The sequence below is a fragment of the Homo sapiens genome, chromosome 9 (assembly GCF_000001405.40).
Source record: "Homo sapiens chromosome 9, GRCh38.p14 Primary Assembly".
Classification (NCBI taxonomy): Eukaryota; Metazoa; Chordata; class Mammalia; order Primates; family Hominidae; genus Homo; species Homo sapiens.
Window position 1 is genome coordinate 2,055,824 of NC_000009.12, and position 18,321 is coordinate 2,074,144.

Genomic DNA, 18,321 nt, shown 5'->3' on the forward strand with positions numbered 1-18,321 from the left:
CTTACTAAATGAATATTAACCAAGTATATTTTCCGGAATATGTTTATGTTCAAATTAGCGTTGCCATGACGGACTCTTATTGATTTCTGATTTTTGTTTGATATTATTTTAAAAATCTGTTATTTATGAAGCTTCCTAATTAAATTAACTGTAACTAATGATATTTCAGATGCAGTGGAATGATTATTTAATGTGTATTCTCCAGTCCCTACCCCCTACCACCACATAACATGCAATACAGATAAAAGTATTACATTTGTGATCTGAAATAAGTTCATGATATAATATAAAATGTAGATCTCTTGGAAAGAAGATCATTATTGGAGTGGGAAGAAGCCAAAACTCATATTTCCCATCCTTTGTATGAGACTATGAATTAACGTTGTTTGAGTACCTGCTGCTACCACACGTGAAAGTAATTCTTTTATTCTTTTTTTGGAGCATCATTAAAATTAATCTTTAAACACAAAGAGAATGTTAACATGACACTTAAAACAAAGCGGAAAATTTAAAAAGCTTATTTAGCTAATTGGTATCATTAGAATAATTAGAGAAAATGAAGTTATTTAAAAGGCAAGACAACATCTTTTCTTTCTTTTACTGTTACAGTACTATAATTGCTTTTGATTTGAATTATTTGGGGAGAAAAATCTTGTACCGTTCTTGAAAATATTGCATACATTTGGCATGATTTTAGTTCCTTCATTTAATACAAACCAAAGGTGATTGAGAAGCTTGTGGAGATTCCCCGCCCCACTCTATTCCATTAAATGCAACCGCGAGAAGGCCAGAGTTCAGGAACCTAGCTTCTGTTAGGGAAGGCTGTCTAACTGCTCTCTTCTTGACAGCTGAGACAGGAGGTGGTGGCCTGCATGCGCAGGGACACGACCCTGGAGACGGCTCTCAACTCCAAAGCATACAAACGGAGCAAGCGCCAGACTCTGAGAGAAGCTCGCATGACCGAGAAGCTGGAGAAGCAGCAGAAGATTGAGCAGGAGAGGAAACGCCGTCAGAAACACCAGGTTCTTAGACCCTGGGCTTTGCTCACCCTCACTTTGGCAGAGCTGTCCAATGAATTCATCAAATGGGGTCAGAATGACTGAAAAATGGACCCTTGTGGGTGGTGGGGACATCACAGAACAGAACGGTTCCTTGACATGTACATAATCCAACCACATCATTTTATAGACAAAGACGCTTAAGCCAGGACGTATAAATGACTGCCCAAGGTCATACAATTGCTTAGCAGCACAATGAGGTTTAGTATTGTCTTAGTTTGTCTGGGCTGCTATAAAAAAATAGCACAAACTGGGTGGTTGATGAGCAACAGAAGTTTATTTTTCACCGTTCTGGAGGCTGGAAGCCTGAGATCAGGGTACTAGCATGGCTGGGCTCTGGTGAGGGTCTTCTTCTGGGTTGCAAACTGTTAACTTCTCCTTGTTTTCTTACGTGGTGGAAGCAGGCCAAGAAAGCTCTCCGGGCTTCCTTTATAAGGGCACTAATCCCATTCGTAAGGGCTCTACCCTCATGACCTTATCACCTCCCGAAGACCCCACCTCCTAATACCATTACATTGGGAGTTAGCATTTCAATATATAAATTTTGGGAGGACACAAACATTCAGTCCATAACAGGTGTCATGTTCATAATCCCATGGGAAGTTTTTGAATGGGTGGGCATAGGTGGATTTCCTAGAGCAAAATTCTGGGAGCAGGAACTTGGAAAAGGAAAGTAGAAAGCAAAAAGTTATTTTCATAACAAATATAATAGTGTCCTGGCTTCTCTGAAGGGCCTAGTTGAATGTTTCACAGAGGCAAATATTAAAAACATTCCTTTCTGGGGGTTTGGAAATATTTTGATGTAGGATTTGATTTCCTGTCATAGTCCTGTAAATTGTATTTGTTTTCCTGTGCTTAATTTAGTGCTTAGCTTAGTTTCCTTTTGAAAAAATGTTGGATTTTAGTGTAAATAGAGTATATATTTAAAAAGTGGATACAAATTCTGCATGGCAATTTTAACTTTGTATAAACTTATTTTGTGTCATACTCTAGGGTAGTTAGAGCAGAAAAACATTACTTTTGTGACATACTTTTTGCTGGAAATACTCATGTTCCTCAGGTTTATTTTGGAGTGAATGAGTGGTTTGCTTTACATTTTATCATTGCCATTTTGTAGGTCTCTTTCAGTCTTCGATCTTTCCATTCTCATGTGGCCACACCCTCAAGGCTAAGGAGGCTTCTCTTGCTAAAGCTTACAACAAAAGGAACCCGAAGAGGCTATCTTTCCCACCAGCCCCATGGCCCACACCTTAACTGCAGAGACACCAGGGCACCTATCCCCAAACAGATTCTAGTCTTCCTATGCTGTTAAACACACACTGAGAGTTTTCTTGGACAACACTGATAGCTCAGAGGACACTGGTCATTGGATTTTAAGTATCCTTTTCTTCCCTTTTTGGATCTTCTAGGAATACCTGAACAGTATTTTGCAACATGCAAAAGATTTTAAGGAATATCATCGGTCTGTGGCCGGAAAGATCCAGAAGCTCTCCAAAGCAGTGGCAACTTGGCATGCCAACACTGAAAGAGAGCAGAAGAAGGAGACAGAGCGGATTGAAAAGGAGAGAATGCGGCGACTGATGGTAAGGAACTCCCTGCAGGAGCCCAGGAAACTACTCAACCCACGTCCGTCTGCAATGAGACCATTAAATATGGTGGTAGTAGAAGGAAAAAATGAAAACTGCTTATCAAAAATTTTAGTAAATTTCTTTGAACCTTAGGGAGATGAAGTAAAAACTTTTTCTCTTTCCTGGAGAATGCATGCCAAAAATCTAGGGGGATGACTGATGCGTATAGTATTTCTGTGTCCTGGGGTGGCATTGCGCGGTACACATTACAGCTTCTCTCATAAAAGCAGGTACTGTATTTTGCATGAGTTTGATAACCAGATCTGGAAGGATGGCAAATGCAGTTCTTTTAAAAATATGGCCTCTTTGAGATGAATGACCACGTTTTTTGGAATGAATAACACATTAAGTCGTGTCTTCAAATCTAAGAAGGTCTGTGTTTTGAAGCCTCTGGTGCTTATCTTTCTTTTTTAATGGCAGAAATTATTCTCTAACAGTGTAATAAGTGATTTTTAAGTTGATTTTGAAATGTTGCCTTTTTTGTGATAGCCTTGTTATGGTCAAAGGCTATTCATGGATTATTACATTTGCACTGTTATTTTTTAATGGGCATATAAGCACAGAAGAGATAGGTTTATATCATTGGCCTGAGTATTTGTTTTTATTGACCATTTATTTTTGGAATTGGACCTCAGAGCACACTGTGGATTTTAGAAAAGCGTGTGTGTGTGTGATGTTATAATTATAGGAGACCTGCAGATTCTATCTAGGACGTAATGCCTGCATAGATGAAGATAAGGTCATTAGTCTCAGACCATAATTATGTTCCTGGAAAATTCTAAGTGACACTGTCTTCCTGGCTGGTATTACAGTTTGCATTTTTTTCATTTTTTGGATTCCAGAGAGTAAACACCATGTTTTAAAAGCCTCTGTGTGCAGGTACTACTACATCTTACTACCCTATCCTGCCTCCCTCTCCATACCAGGGAGAGAGGACTGTCCGAGAGGTTTCTGACTAGACCGTTTTTGTAGTAATTTGATCACTAAGCAGTCAAATTTGTCTGACTCAACTGAAGTGAAACTATATTAGAACTTCAGTAACAGATTGGTTTGACACTAATGATTAGGCATTTGCAAATCATTAATTTTTGCAATTAAGTGATGGAATATACAGATAATAGAGAAACTGAAGTTTTTTATCACTCTTTCTTCAAGTGAGTTCAACCATAACCGAAAGCAATTAGAGTTATAATAGCATTTGAGGCTCTTGCTCATCCACAGGGCAGACGGCAGCTAGACTGAGTGATGAAGCTGCTGTCACTCAGGCAGATGCTAGAGTGACACCCCTGGACAAAAGATCCCAAGTTTTTGTTTTTGTTTTTGCAATGGAGTTGCCTCTTAAAGATTTTGCAGCTTGCTCCTTTTATCGTGGCATTACATGATAAAAATAATTTGGAGTGTCCTTTTATTGGGATACACAAAGAGATTTCTCTCAAAATGGCTTAGAGTACATCAGAGTTTTATTCTGTTTAACCTCATCATGTTGCTTAATGGGAGGTGGAGGTGGGAATTACTGTATCTATTTTATTGCTCAGCAGTACCAGACTTCAGGTGCTAAGTGACTTGTCTCCAGTCACCTGGGCCCATTACTCAGTGCAGATCTGTGGCCAAAAAAAAAAAAAAAAAAAAAAAAAAAAAAAATCCCCCAAATTTGATCTTTCCTGTTAACCACAAAGTTTGTAATGCCAAAAAGAAAGACTTTTTAAAATATAAGACATTATTTGTTAAAAGCCCATTTGATTCCTTGCCTTTAGTAGTACTTTTTGAAATATTTATGAATGAAAGGATATTATGTCTGGAATTTGCTTCAAGACAATTCAGTTTGGGTTTAGAAGAAGAGTAGCAATGAAACAGGAGTCATCACAAGTGAATTTTTGTTGTTTGGGGTTGGTTATAGGAGAAATTAAACTATTCTCTCTGCTTTTGATTATATTTGAAAATGTCTAAAATATAGAGTTAAAGATAAAGTTTAGATCATGAATTGTCAAATTCTAAAATCTTTTTGTACAGTTAAAGCAACACAGAAAACAAAGAGCTTGGCTCAGAGTGCTTAATCACACCACACGTACAGTGTGGCTTTGTGCCCGGACTTTGCTGTAAACTCCAGTGTCCTGGGATGTAGGCGTCACACTTCTGTGTGTTTGTCCCACTTCAGACTCTGTGCAATGGCTTGAACAGCCCAACTCATCCAGTTTGCTACACTCCTACCAGTCAAAATGCAGACTGTCAAGGGGAGGACAGAGTGGAGAGTGGAGTTGTCTGCACGCTTATATTATGCTCTCATCCTGCTCTTCTTTCCTTAATAGGCTGAAGATGAGGAGGGTTATAGAAAACTGATTGATCAAAAGAAAGACAGGCGTTTAGCTTACCTTTTGCAGCAGACCGATGAGTATGTAGCCAATCTGACCAATCTGGTTTGGGAGCACAAGCAAGCCCAGGCAGCCAAAGAGAAGAAGAAGAGGAGGAGGAGGAAGAAGGTGCGTATCCTAGTGGTGGTGGCTGAGTCCAGGGTGTATGGGCAGGGATAAGTTTTTAAGGCGAGTATTGCTCTTTAAGTACTACTTCTTACACTGGTGGAAGGTTTAGATGATTGAATTGTGAAAATTGCATAAATGGGTATGGCATGGAAGTGTTGATTAGGTACACTAGACAACTATTGGAGGTAAGGGCATAATAATGGGATATACTAAACTAAAACAATGTTGTTCATAAATCATTGTTTAATAGAAGATTTTAAATTAAGTACATACAGTCAATTGGGAAAGGAAAAACAGACACAAATAAGTGTTCGCTTAAGTTTAATGCTAGGGTGGCAGGGGATTACTCAATTAAGAATGAAATTTAAGAAGAAAATGCAGTGTACAGGTTGGAAGAAGCCAGAGGAAGATATAAGCAATAGTTACTTGGACAGATGGCAGTGCCAAAGCTGTTCATTCAGTTCTGCTGTCCCTGTGTCGCAGTGAGGTGAGTGTGCACATTGGGGTTTTAGGTAATTACATAAAAAAAGAGTCCTATGTGAAATATCTCCTAATTATCATGAGAAATGAAGGGTAAGATTTAGAATCTCTGCAGCTATTATATCTCAATTCAAGAGTAACCTGCTGAGGATAGGCCTGTGAATATGATCCTCTTTGAAGCTTAAGTCATCCAGTCGTCTAGTTAGTGGTTGATACTGTGTGTTCATGATAAATTCTGTTTAGGCCAGGTACAAACATCAACTGGAAGTCAGAATTGTAAAGGTTGAGGATTGGTAGCATTTAATCATTCATTCTGTATACTGAATAAGTGAACAAAATGCTTTTCAAAAAACAATTAATTTCATGGCTCCTGAATCCTCATACCTGTCTCATAATTAAGGAGGAGGAATAAATGATTAAGAAGGCACCTTCTTGCACTGATTTCTTTAGTATAAGATAGCTTACCTCATTGTGAAGATGAACGAGAGATGACTCAGGGCTTGTGTTTAGACATTTTGTTGGTGAGGAATACCTCATTTTCTTGTCAGTGTAGCATTATAGACTGTGCAAAACTCCAGCTCCAATTCCTACCTTAAAAAGATGTTTTCAGAGTTAGTGAGGAACATATACGTAAGGGGGGAGGGAAGAATGATGGGGAAATAAATCATATAAATGTAGTTATTACCACTGAACTGTAGACTTAAGAATGGTAAAGGTGGTACATTTTATATGTCTAATGACTTCCAGAAAAAATTTTTAAAAATTAAAAAGGAATTACTGACATATTGATAGCAGAGAGAGAGATGGAATTCTGGAATATTCTGTAAGTGGACCCCATTAAATGGCAGTTTTAGTTTTTCCTAATTCAGCCATGTGTTCTGCAGAGGTTGTCACTGTTAGTGTTTTTAGTATTAAAATTTTTGTATTTTACATTTCTTTGTGATTAAAAGCTAATGACCCAGTTTTGAGATTATGGCTTACAATTAATAGATTTCTGCCGTGGTGTTAGATAGTTGCATCGTCGTAGGCAGAGAAAGATACACAATTGAGTGTTGATGATTATGCCTATATTTTTGTGTTCATCTGTACAGAACAGGGACTTGTCACAATTGTTTTTCATGGTGTTATTCTGCATGATCTGTAAGTTGGCACGCCCCTTTCAAACCCTTGCCTTCAATTTGGTAATAGCACTTATTCTTTGTGTCTTATGCTTGCACTCAACATGTGTTAACTGAACACTTACTATGAGCTAGGTCGTGTGCTAGAATGCTGGGAGAAGGAGGGGTACAATGGTGAGGAAAAGCATCCTGCCTTCTCTCACAGTTTAATCAGAGAGAGAAAAAGAGAGGCTAGACTGATATTAATCAGGGAGAGAAAGAGAGGCTAGACAGATATTAATCCAACATGCACCCAACTATACAATGACAAGCTGGGATGAATGTTGTGGAGGGAAACTGTTTCCAGTTGGAGGTGGGGCCTGATTTCTTGGCAAACGCGTAATAGTTGTCAAAGCAGCTACTGTCTACCTTACAGATATCTTTGAGTATCTCCCATTGATTATCTCACATGATCAATGTGCAGAATTTTTACTTTATGGTCAGCCATCTACCCTTCCTTGCATGCTCTTGGGTGCCTAGCATTTGTGCCCTCAGCAGGACTAAGTCGGAGGGGCTCTATTTCCTTCCAGGGTATCTTACTGGGAGAAGTGGGACAAAGAAGGGGGAAGAAAAAAAGAAAAGAAACTGAGGCCCTTAGCCCTTCCTGGTACCTGTCTCTTTTGCGGGGCTTTAAGACTTAGTTCAGAGCGAATTATCCAGTTCCAGATGCACTTTTATTCAAGTGCAAAGGAAGGGGATGCTTTAAGAAGCTGATTTGACACTTTGGATTATCTGTAGTTCTTCTTCCCTCCATTGCAGTGAATGATTGGGAGTTGCTTCTTCTAGCTTCTCTGTAGTGGAGGAAAACTTCTGTGTCTATGAGCATAAAAATCTCTGCTATCCTTTTTAGCACTTTTCCATAGTATTAAGTATTATGCTGTACCTATCAATATTTTTTAAATTAACAAATACTTCAATAAACCTTTGTTTTGAGAAAACCTACTTTACTCAGTGAGCTAGTAGTTAATAGCACTGAGCTGGTAGCAACACTTGAAGGACAACTAAGCTACTGATTACTCTAAGAAATGTGCTATTAAAGATGAATATGGTTGACTTTTTCACTTAATTTAATCTGAAAAAGATTACCTTTTATTTTCAGCGTTAAACTAGTGTACAATTTTTTTTTTTTAATTCCCTAGAAGGACAGAGGCCTCTGTCTTTCTTTGGGAGTTTATTGTGTTGACTTGTTGCTCGTGAATAATAGGGTAGGTTTCCTTTAACATGTTATGACCTTGTTTAATTTTCTCATCATTACAGACATTTTTAGGAAGTACACATTTATAAATCATTTTGTAACTTCTCATTTTCAGCCTGGTCTTCCATTAAAGCCCTTGAAATGGAAGAAGAAGAAGTGAACTACATGTATCTCCTTAAGTGTCAGAGGAGGAATAATTTTTAAAGTATTGAAAACCTAGTTATACGAAACTAATTTCTTTGATGTTACAAGATGAATGTGCTATTATGTGCGTTTAGCGTGACCTTGAGGTTTCCTACAGGGTACAAAAGAGAATGGGGCTAGATCAAGCCACCAGGGCCTGTAGAACTAGGATTGAACATGGCTGAATTAGAAAATTGGACCACTGTCTGAGTCGTGTTAGCAGGTAATCTTTTAAAATCAAAACTACATGAGAAAATATTTATACTAATTTGCTATTATTCTCTTGTAGGCTAGTTCGTTAAAAGATCTATTACCATAGTGCTTCAGTCTCATGATCTGTAAGAAGGCAATAGGAATGTTGTCTACCCCATAGATTTGTAGTGAGGATTACACGGGAAAGTTTATCTAAAGCATGTAGAATACACCCTAACATATAGTAAGTGCTCAGTAAACATTATTTCATCAAGCAATTCTATGATACGAAAGTGGAATCATAATTATAATACGGTTATGTTTTTCTGAAAACAAATGTCTTTTTAAACCTTTACTGCATATTCTTTGTGATGTTGAATCAATAATAATTGGTCACCACTTTTTTTCTAGTTGGAAATCAGTTGAATATTAGTGTGTAGGATATCTTTGAGGACAGTGACAGATTCTTTAAATACTGAGGCATGCAGAAGAAAAATGAGGCTTTATCACAGGTGATAAACTCTGCCTACCACCCTGTTCCCCCAACTCCTACAAAGAGAATTTTCTAATTACATGGCCTCTACTTTACTAGGGTTCCTGGCGATTATGAGGCATCTCTCACAGTACTTTAGGGTACATTTTTCCTTAAGCTGTGGTTAGGAGCCCATACCAGGAGCAGCCCTGCCTATTGCTTAAAAGTTTAGCCATCAGCTGGGTGCGGCGGCTCACGCCTGTAATCCCAGCACTTTGGGAGGCCGAGGCGGGCGGATCACGAAGTCAGGAGATCGAGACCATCCTGGCTAACATGTTGAAACCCCATCTCTACTAAAAAATACAAAAAATTAGCCGGGCGTGGTGGCAGGCACCTGTAGTCCCAGCTACTCAGGAGGCTGAGGTGAGAGAATGGTGTGAACCCAGGAGGCAGAGGTTGCAGTGAGCCGAGACGGCGCCACTGCACTCCAGCCTGGGCGACAGAGCGAGACTCTGTCTCAAAAAAAAAAGTCTAGCCATTTCAGAGGTTCAGTTTCCAGAGCCGTTGACATCAGCCAAAACTAAATATTTAATTCTCCCTTCCACATCTTTCAGTGGGATGTATACCAGCAGAACTATTCTTGTGTTATTTATTTGTGACATTTTTTGGAAACATATGATACTAATGGGCACATACTCAGAATCTCTGAGGCAACACTAGACCAGATATAGTCTTCATTGGAGTGTTCGATTTTCTTTCTGAAAGTTCTTTTATCCTGTCTCTCTCTCTCTCTCTTTCTCCTTACCAACCGCTATTATAAGTAAATCTCAGGACTGTGATATTTTGCAGGTTGAACCTTCCTGGCATAATGTATTGGCCAACATAGTGGTAGGAAATGTGTTTTTATCCTGTTTAGATACCAGAATGTCAGAATAGCCTGCCGTTGGCACAGTTTTCAGTAAAAAGAGCTTGAAAAGCAAAGCAGTAATATTGAGACATTTATTTTAAATACAAGCTACTCCCTGATTCTTCTCATTTTTTTTAATCTCTTACAGTTTCCCCAAAGATTATATACTTTATTACAGCTTTCCTCTACAGGATTTTCATAGATGAAAGAAAGGTTCTAATGTAATTCTGGACATTTGAGTGTAGGAACTATTGTAAGGATAGGCGAACACAATGCCACAGTGATTAGATTTATTTGATTAGTTGAGTGTCAAAATGGGGGAGACCAGAAGTTTCGAGAAAAGTCCTGTTTAACTGGATTGACCAGTTACTTGAGTCAAAATGTTTGAATTGATTTTCTCTATAAGAAACAACCCAAGTAATTTGCAAATGCCTGCTAATTTCATATCCCTGGGCATTTTTTAAAATTACCCGATTACCTATCTTAATGCTCAAAGGTCCCCTTAAATGACAGTAAAAATAACTCAAGTGGTTTTTGAAAGCTTAGGTTTCCAGCAAAACAGAATGGATACTTCAGATACCAGCACATTTGAATGTTGTTTCAGTATATTATAATAACACCCACTGGGGGATAAAGTACATTCAGTTTATAATATAGATTGTAAAATATTTGATTTAAAACTTTATGTAATGAGGCTGTTTATAGCCTATGTTAAAGTAATCTAAATAAAATGGCCTACTGAAGTCTTCTTTTGAGTTCAGCTTACACGGGATTTTCATATTTAGAGATTTCTTTCCCTCCTCAGCCCTGTTGTTGATTACTTTTTATACCTTCTGCAAGGAAGATGGGTAGCCATGCACATACCTTTGCTTGTGAACATTGCTAAATGGAAGATATGAATTGACGTTGGCCTTGGAAATTGGGAACACACACTGTCTTTAGTTTGAGTAATTTTTAGTTATGAGTAATCTTTAGTTATGAATAATTCCTATCATGTCCCCTTACATGATTAGGTTAATTATACTCCTCCCTTCCTACATAAGCATAATTAGTTCTAAACTCTTTTGCATGTAGGAAGAAGCCAGTACAAAGTTTCTTGTTCAGTGTTTTGTTTTGTTTTCAATCAATGGAAATAAGTGCAGGCATCAGCCCTTAATATTGATAGCATGTGTCTGCAATTAAACGATGCAGATAACTACATATGAAAATTTCTCAGGTGGCAGGAGACGCTGTAGCAGCTGCTGCATTCACACCAGGACATTTCTTTAGGTGCTTAGAGACTGTCCGAAGTCAGCTCAAACAGTAGACCAATCACAAACTCTTGGGTGTTAATTTTGAACCAAGAAAAAGGGACAGTTGTGTTTGTTTTGCTTTGTTTTTTTAAGTTTTGAGACACAGCATGAAGTTGATGTGAGTACATGTGCGCACCAACCAGCAATGTCATCAAACTGAAGGAATCCAAAGAATGATGGGAGGAGTTGATATCTCTTGTCATAGAGTAGACTGCCACCTGGCCTCTATCTCTTAGAATAACATGGCAGAATTAGGTCCAAGGACAGGGCATGCTTGCGAGGAAAGTCACACAGAGCACCAATTCAATGGCTAATTGTGTGCGTGCTTTTAACTATTTTATGACTTGCAAATGTATTGGCATCTATTTATGATAGTAATAATTTAATGAGCATATGCTAAGTGGAAAGCATTGTTCTTTGTGCTTTCATTCATTCCTTCAATCACCAAATATTTATTTAGCGCCTTTTAAGTGCCTGATGCCCTTGTAGGTGTGGGAATGCACCAGTGAACAAAACAGACAGAAATCCCTGACCTCATAGCCTTATGAAGCAGTTTTCAGGAAATGCGACAGCCAGTCTTAATTATAGACATAAAAGAATAGTCCTCGGACTATCGTTGACCCTTGTACAATGTGGAGATTGAGGCTGGCAGCATATATATTACTTGTGACACTGGATTGTACATGTCGAAATAGTGACCCAGTCCTGCAGAAGCCCTAGGAAGCAGGCACTGTTTGTTACCGTTCCTATTTTATGCAAGAGGGAACTAAGACACAAGAGAAAATGATTTGCTCAAGATCATACAGCTAAGATCTCTTGCACTTAATTACAGAGAGCTAAGATTGAAACACAGTTTGTCTAATTGCAGAACCAAATGTCTTAAATCTAATATTACTCTGTCTCTCAGATTTGATACCTAATAGAACTTTAAAAAATAGTTTTGGGGATTTTAAGTAATGGAAGGGCCTGACTGTGAGGCAGTTTTTAGATAACAATCTAGCTAGTCTATAGGACATTCATAGGAAAGTATCCTTCAGAATAGTTTTGATTATATTAATATATGATGCTTCAAGCTTTTTAATGTACTATTCATTGAAGTGGTGATCCAATTCCACTTGCTAGATATTTGAAATTGGCTTATTCATTGTCTCATTTGATTTTCTTTGTTGGCCAAATTTGTAGCTTATTTCTGATTTGTATGGAAAGAATGGTGGGATTAATTGACTTTCCCCCATTAATTAAAACAGTCCCCTGAGTATAGATTCTGAGAACTCCAAAAATGGAACCTTCAGTGACTGGTAGCAGGGATGGTTTCTTTTTTGAATTCAAGGGTTCTGTTATTGTTCTCTGTGTCACTAGCTTAGATGTAGAGCCTGATGCTCTTTGAAGCTGATCATTTCTTTTGAGCTTATAAATGTTTTTGCTCTGAGGTGACATAAATAGAAATTTAATTACTTGGAAAATCATAACCAAAGGGAGCATTTTATTTCCTACTGTTTGGTGGAAGCTGCATTTTTTTTTATGCCTTGTGCTTTGGCATACATACATACATGTATTTTTGGTAAAAATTGCATTGTAAAGGAACTTCAGAAATTTCAAATGTTGATGGAACTGCCTTTCTTCACTATGACTAAAAGGCTGATTTTAAACTTTAAGTGTTTTCGTAAAAGCTATTTTGTCAAAAGACAGTTGAGTTATTTTCATAGAAGGCAAAACGTATTATATAATCAATATCTTAAGTAAACAAAGTTGAGTTCATATTGATTCTGTATCGTCATTTTTTATTTTTAATTAACTAAAGAGCCCAAGGGAGGAAAGCTCATTTTCTCAAGCATCTTGGCAAAGGAAATGACTAAAGTTTTTTTTTTTTCTCTCATTATACTATGCAGAAATAGTATAGCTTTCCAGCAGTAACTTTAAAATAGTGATTCTGTAGAGGTGATTTTAAAGATTTCACTTGTCAGAGAGGTTATCGTAAGTGGAAGAAATTTTAGATTATTTTGCGTATATTACAGATGAGACTTTCTTGGATATGTACAAGATATGACATAACCTTTTGTTTTTTTTTTTGAGACACAGTCTCTCTCTGTCACCCAGGCTGGAGTGCACTGGCACCATCTCGGCTCACTGCAAGCTCTGCCTCCTGGGTTCACGCCATTCTCCTGCCTCAGCCTCCTGAGTAGCTGGGACTACAGGTACCCACCACAACACCCGGCTAATTTTTTGTGTTTTTAGTAGAGACAGGGTTTCACCGTGTTAGCCAGGATGGTCTCGATCTCCTGACCTTGTGATCTGCCCGCCTCGGCCTCTCAAAGTGCTGGGATTACAGGCCTGAGCCACCGCACCCGGCCGATATGACATAATCTTAACTTTTCATTTAGGTTGTTTTTGAGGCACATAGAAGTTAATGGACTAAGATATTGGGATATGTAAGAAATGGTAGATAGGCTGGGAGGCCGAGGCAGGCGGATCACGAGGTCAGGAGATTGAGACCATCGTGGCTAACACGGTGAAACCCCGTCTCCACTAAAAAAATACAAAAAAATTAGCCGGGCGTGGTGGCGGTCGCCTGTAGTCCCAGCTACTTGGGAGGCTGAGGCAGGAGAATGGCGTGAACACGGGAGGCGGAGCTTGCAGTGAGCCGAGATCGGGCCACCGCACTCCAGCCTGGGCGACAGAGCAAGACTCTGTCTCAAAAAAAAAAAAAAGAAATGGTAGATAACAGAATTCTTCATCAGATAACAATATCTGCATAAAATTTTCCCATTTACACATGGTAGAAATACTATATGTTATGAAAGAAATTTAGGTGGAATTAAAAACATCCAGGGAACTCATAAAGTTTTATATTATGTTTTTATGCCCATGGAGTGGGTCATAGCTTATTCTTTTTTTTGAGGGTGCAATTTGATTTTTATTATTTCAACTTTTATTTTAGATTCAGGGGATACATGTGCAAGTTTATTACCTGGGTATATTGCATGATGCTGAGGTTTGTGTTACAGTTGATCCTGTCACCCAGGTGGAGATCATCGTACCCAATAATTAGTTTTTCAGCTCTTGCCCCACTCCCTCCTTCCCCCCCAGTAGTCCCCAGTGTCTATTGTTGCCATCAGAGCTTATTCTTGATGGACAGTTTTAGAATGTTGTTCTTCATTGCTGAAGAAAACTTGCTTAGGGGATAGGAAAGTTGAGCTAATTATGTCAGGATATATCTTCCCACTCCCAAACACGAGAAGAACATTTCAGATTCTGACCACTGTCTTGATACTGCCCTGTCTTAAGCTCTTTGGGTCCCTGAAGACACAATCTACAAATCTCTAGTGTGCTGGCCTCAGATCACATCTGACTTTAAGTGACTCTCTACAAGTTGCTAATAAAATACATGTTTTGTCTCAGCAAAGACAAATGAACATAAAAGGCATTAACACTTAAGCTGTGTTAGATAATAATGGGGTAACAATGAAATCCTATTACATACCGGAGAGTTACCAGGAAGTCCTGTACCCCATCATCTTGGTTACTTATAACATTCGACATTGTTGTTTTGCAGAAGGCTGAGGAGAATGCAGAGGGTGGGGAGTCTGCCCTGGGACCGGATGGAGAGGTAAGGGATCGTCATCCTTTCCACTGTGTTCTGCTGAATGGAGTCTGTGCCATACCTGGCAGCACCATTCTTCATGCATACTATTTTATTCTTACTGTGCTATTTATTTTAAGTAAAAATAGTAATACATTAGCATAGTAGAAAATTAGAATGATACAAAAGGGATACAGTGAAAAATAATCTACTTACATGTCAGACTGTCAATCAACTGATATTAAATGTCTTGCATAGTATTTCAGAATTTTCTGTGCACATATAATCGTATGTTTACAAATATATAGGATGTGTAAGAATCTTAAATGATTCTATAATTATATTGCCCAATAAATGATACAGAAGCATAAAATATGACACAGTTTCTCTAGTTTATTATTAATTTGAAATTATAAAAATACATAAACTAAAGAAGTCACATATTTGGTTAACTTATTTTTGAAATTTTTAATGGGCTTGCCATATAGCTTCTATGTGTATGTTCATCAGCCTAGTCCTAAAATTCATTTCCTAGTAGTTCCAGTATTCTCCTGAATTATGAGGATACAATTAATTTATTGGATTTTTTTCTGAAGAATTTAAGGTTCCCTGCCAGCGATTCACAGTGAGGAGGCACACTCCCAGAGCAGGATGGGAAGGGAGTTTGTTTCAAATTATCTTCATTTTGTCTCATAAATTCTGATAAACCTACTTGGAGGATCAGAGTGGGTGGGAGGTTGCCACTTCCCATTCTGGTATCACTCTGCACACAGTTGTATTGTGAACTCAAAACAGTGGAGATGCAGAAAAAAAAGATTGAACCACTATTCTATGCAGAAACCTCTTGAACAATAAATGTTACTTAACCACTATAATCTATCACAAGGAAAGAAAGGATCAGGATAAATATCTGATGTGTGAGAAACTCCGTGGGCTGTTACTGGTTAAGAATACTATATATTAGAGCACTTAGAAACAACTCTAATTTGCAAAAGCCCAGCCTTACCTAAGAATGCCTCCCATTGGTCTATAATTAACAAGCACACAGGGAGAGATTTAACATGTTAGCGTAATAGTGTTCTTATATCTTATTATCTGTTGGGAAAATTAGCTACTGATCTTGGACTTGTGACATACATCTTTTTTTTCTTTTAATCTTAACACACGTGTCCTGTTTGCTAAGGATTGCAACGTGGACATCTTGCTCTATTTTGAAATAATGTTCTTCTGTTCTCATTCAGCGCTTTTGCCAAGGTTCTAATTCCATCTACAGTGATTTCCAGTTTTCTTAGAGGCATGACATTAGCACGAAAACAAGCTGTATTATAATGGTTCATGATAACAGAATATGATTTTTCCAAGGGAAATGATAGCAAATTGTAGATTTCCTTCTTTATCTCTTGAGTATATAGATGACCTTTTACATTAATGAGGAAGAAGTGTCATGTTGGCATGCAAAGTAATGATGTTCAAAACCATTGCTTTAGCACACACAAAAGAAAAAAACGACAATCTGGAGTAAGCCTTTTCTCTTTTTAAGGTTATTTTTGTGGATAATTGCTAATATATTGTTTCTTGTGCTGACAGTGCTTTGTTGAGGGTGTAAGGGGAAAGAACCATTGGGTATGTGTTTTTCATTTTGTTTTGTTTTTTGGTCATCTCCTGTAAGATATAGAAGATAAACGATAGCATACTGTAGGTTATCCTATCATTTCTGCTTAATTCCAATTGAAAGGAATCTAGCAAAAATTTTGGAATTCATGAATTGTCTAAAAATTCAATTTTATCACTTTTCAGGAAATAGATAACTTGAACCACTCACAGACCAAGCATTTCCAAACAAACATTTTACTTAGGGATCTGTTCTTAGAAGTACAGATCACCCTGCAATCAGGAGCAGTCATTCGTTACTGATTATATTCAAGTGTGATTCTTGTGTTCCTTGGATATAGTAGTCTAGTAATGAACTTTAGCTTAATTTTTGGTCAATTTGCCAGATTTCAGAGGAGCAGAGCTTTTTTCTTTGTCACACTCAAAGATACCAATAGTTGGGTTAGACCCCTGGGGGGTTAGTTTTGGAAAAAGGACACCGGTTCTGCAGAGACCAAACCAGCCACTCATGAGATGACATAAGTTATAATACCTTTTCTGTTTTTCATTCTCTCTGAAACCATGACTTTGCAATAGTTGTTATCTGGGAAGTATTAGTTGAGGAATGGGGATTGTTAGTTACAAATGACCAAAATCAAGTCTGCCTGATTTAAATAAAAAGGGAATGTATTGATAGGATACTGGGCAACTCATCAGATCTCCAGGGTTTCTGAAGAACCTGACTCAGGGCTATCCCCAATATTATGCTCTACAACTGGTCTAGTGAGGACAGGCTGTGGCTGGGAGCAGGCAGAAGTTTGACAGAGCCATTACCGCTTTCCTGGCATTGTTGCCACTGTGGTCTGCCCTGCACCGGTGCACCTGTTGGTTTCCACACCCTTGCACTTCTAGCTCTTAACTCACAACCTTGGTGATGTATCTGGTTGCTGGAGCTGAGGTTTGTGCCTGTATCTTAGCTACCAGGGAGGCAGCATTTTCAGTTTCTTTAGTGGGAGGTAGCCTCTCACCTCCCACCAACACTCATTAGGTAGTGAAATTTCCAAACACAGAATAAGGTTTCACATGCTGGGCAGCAAAAACTGCTGAGAAACGTCCAGTACAGGACTGGGGGAAGGTCTTAACATGAAACCGTGACATGATTTTCCCTCCTTTGTAGCCCATAGATGAGAGCAGCCAGATGAGTGACCTCCCTGTCAAAGTGACTCACACAGAAACCGGCAAGGTTCTGTTCGGACCAGAAGCACCCAAAGCAAGTCAGCTGGACGCCTGGCTGGAAATGAATCCTGGGTAAGGCATGAAAGCAGCGTTCATGGTGTTCTTTTAGCTTTTTAGATTTTGGTAATCTTGTACGATCTCGAAACTAAAACTACACAGCCTTTGCTGAGATGGTTGAAGTTGTTACTTGGATTTGTCTTTTATACATAGAATGTGCTATTAAGTCATGTGTGTCTTTATTGTATTGTAATTTAAAAAACTAAGCCCCCTCCTCTTCCTCACTCTTTTTCCTTAGTTATGAAGTTGCCCCTAGATCTGACAGTGAAGAGAGTGATTCTGATTATGAGGAAGAGGTATGTATGTATCTCTGTTTGGGGTTTATTGGTTTGAAAGTTATCAGAGGAAGAAATTCTTCCTGAATGTAAGCCCGGGCCTTGGGTCCTTCTATCATTTCTTCCTCCAGGATTGGCCTTTGGGTGACAGCTGGGGCTAAGGATTTACAAATGCTTTGATGGTGTATGCCTAGTGGTACAGTGATCTCTTGGAAGGCCCTGGCTAATGGGGAAACCTGGCACATTCTAAATTCACTTGAAACCAAGAGAAGAGAAGCTGGCATTAACTTGGGAGATGGTGAAGTGGTCTTTTGGGGGAGAATTGGAGATGGATTACCTTGGGAAAGGCCATACCATACCTCTAAGTGGTTCACATTGAGAATTAACTGCCAAAAAGTTCTGAAGTCCTTCAGACCTTCGAGTCTATTTGCAATTCTGAGTCTGGAAACTTTGACAAAAAGGGCAACGTGGGCTTGGTTTAATGAGTTTATTGATCCTCTTGATTTCTCTCCAAATGTGATTCTTGTTTGAATTCCTTAGAT

At 38.5% G+C, this 18,321-nt stretch overlaps 1 protein-coding gene across 4 annotated transcripts in view; it reads left to right on the forward strand.

Moving 5' to 3' along the window:
• Window positions 1-18,321, forward strand: part of SMARCA2 (SWI/SNF related BAF chromatin remodeling complex subunit ATPase 2) — a 178,274-nt gene that overhangs the window by 40,477 nt on the left and 119,476 nt on the right. For all 4 annotated transcript variants that reach the window (NM_003070.5, NM_139045.4, NM_001289397.2 and 1 more), the window contains exons 7-12: window positions 849-1,022; window positions 2,468-2,641; window positions 4,993-5,163; window positions 14,595-14,648; window positions 17,389-17,519; window positions 17,743-17,800. In NM_003070.5, coding sequence (NP_003061.3) covers window positions 849-1,022; window positions 2,468-2,641; window positions 4,993-5,163; window positions 14,595-14,648; window positions 17,389-17,519; window positions 17,743-17,800 — 762 coding nt within the window. The remainder of the gene's footprint in view (window positions 1-848; window positions 1,023-2,467; window positions 2,642-4,992; window positions 5,164-14,594; window positions 14,649-17,388; window positions 17,520-17,742; window positions 17,801-18,321) is intronic.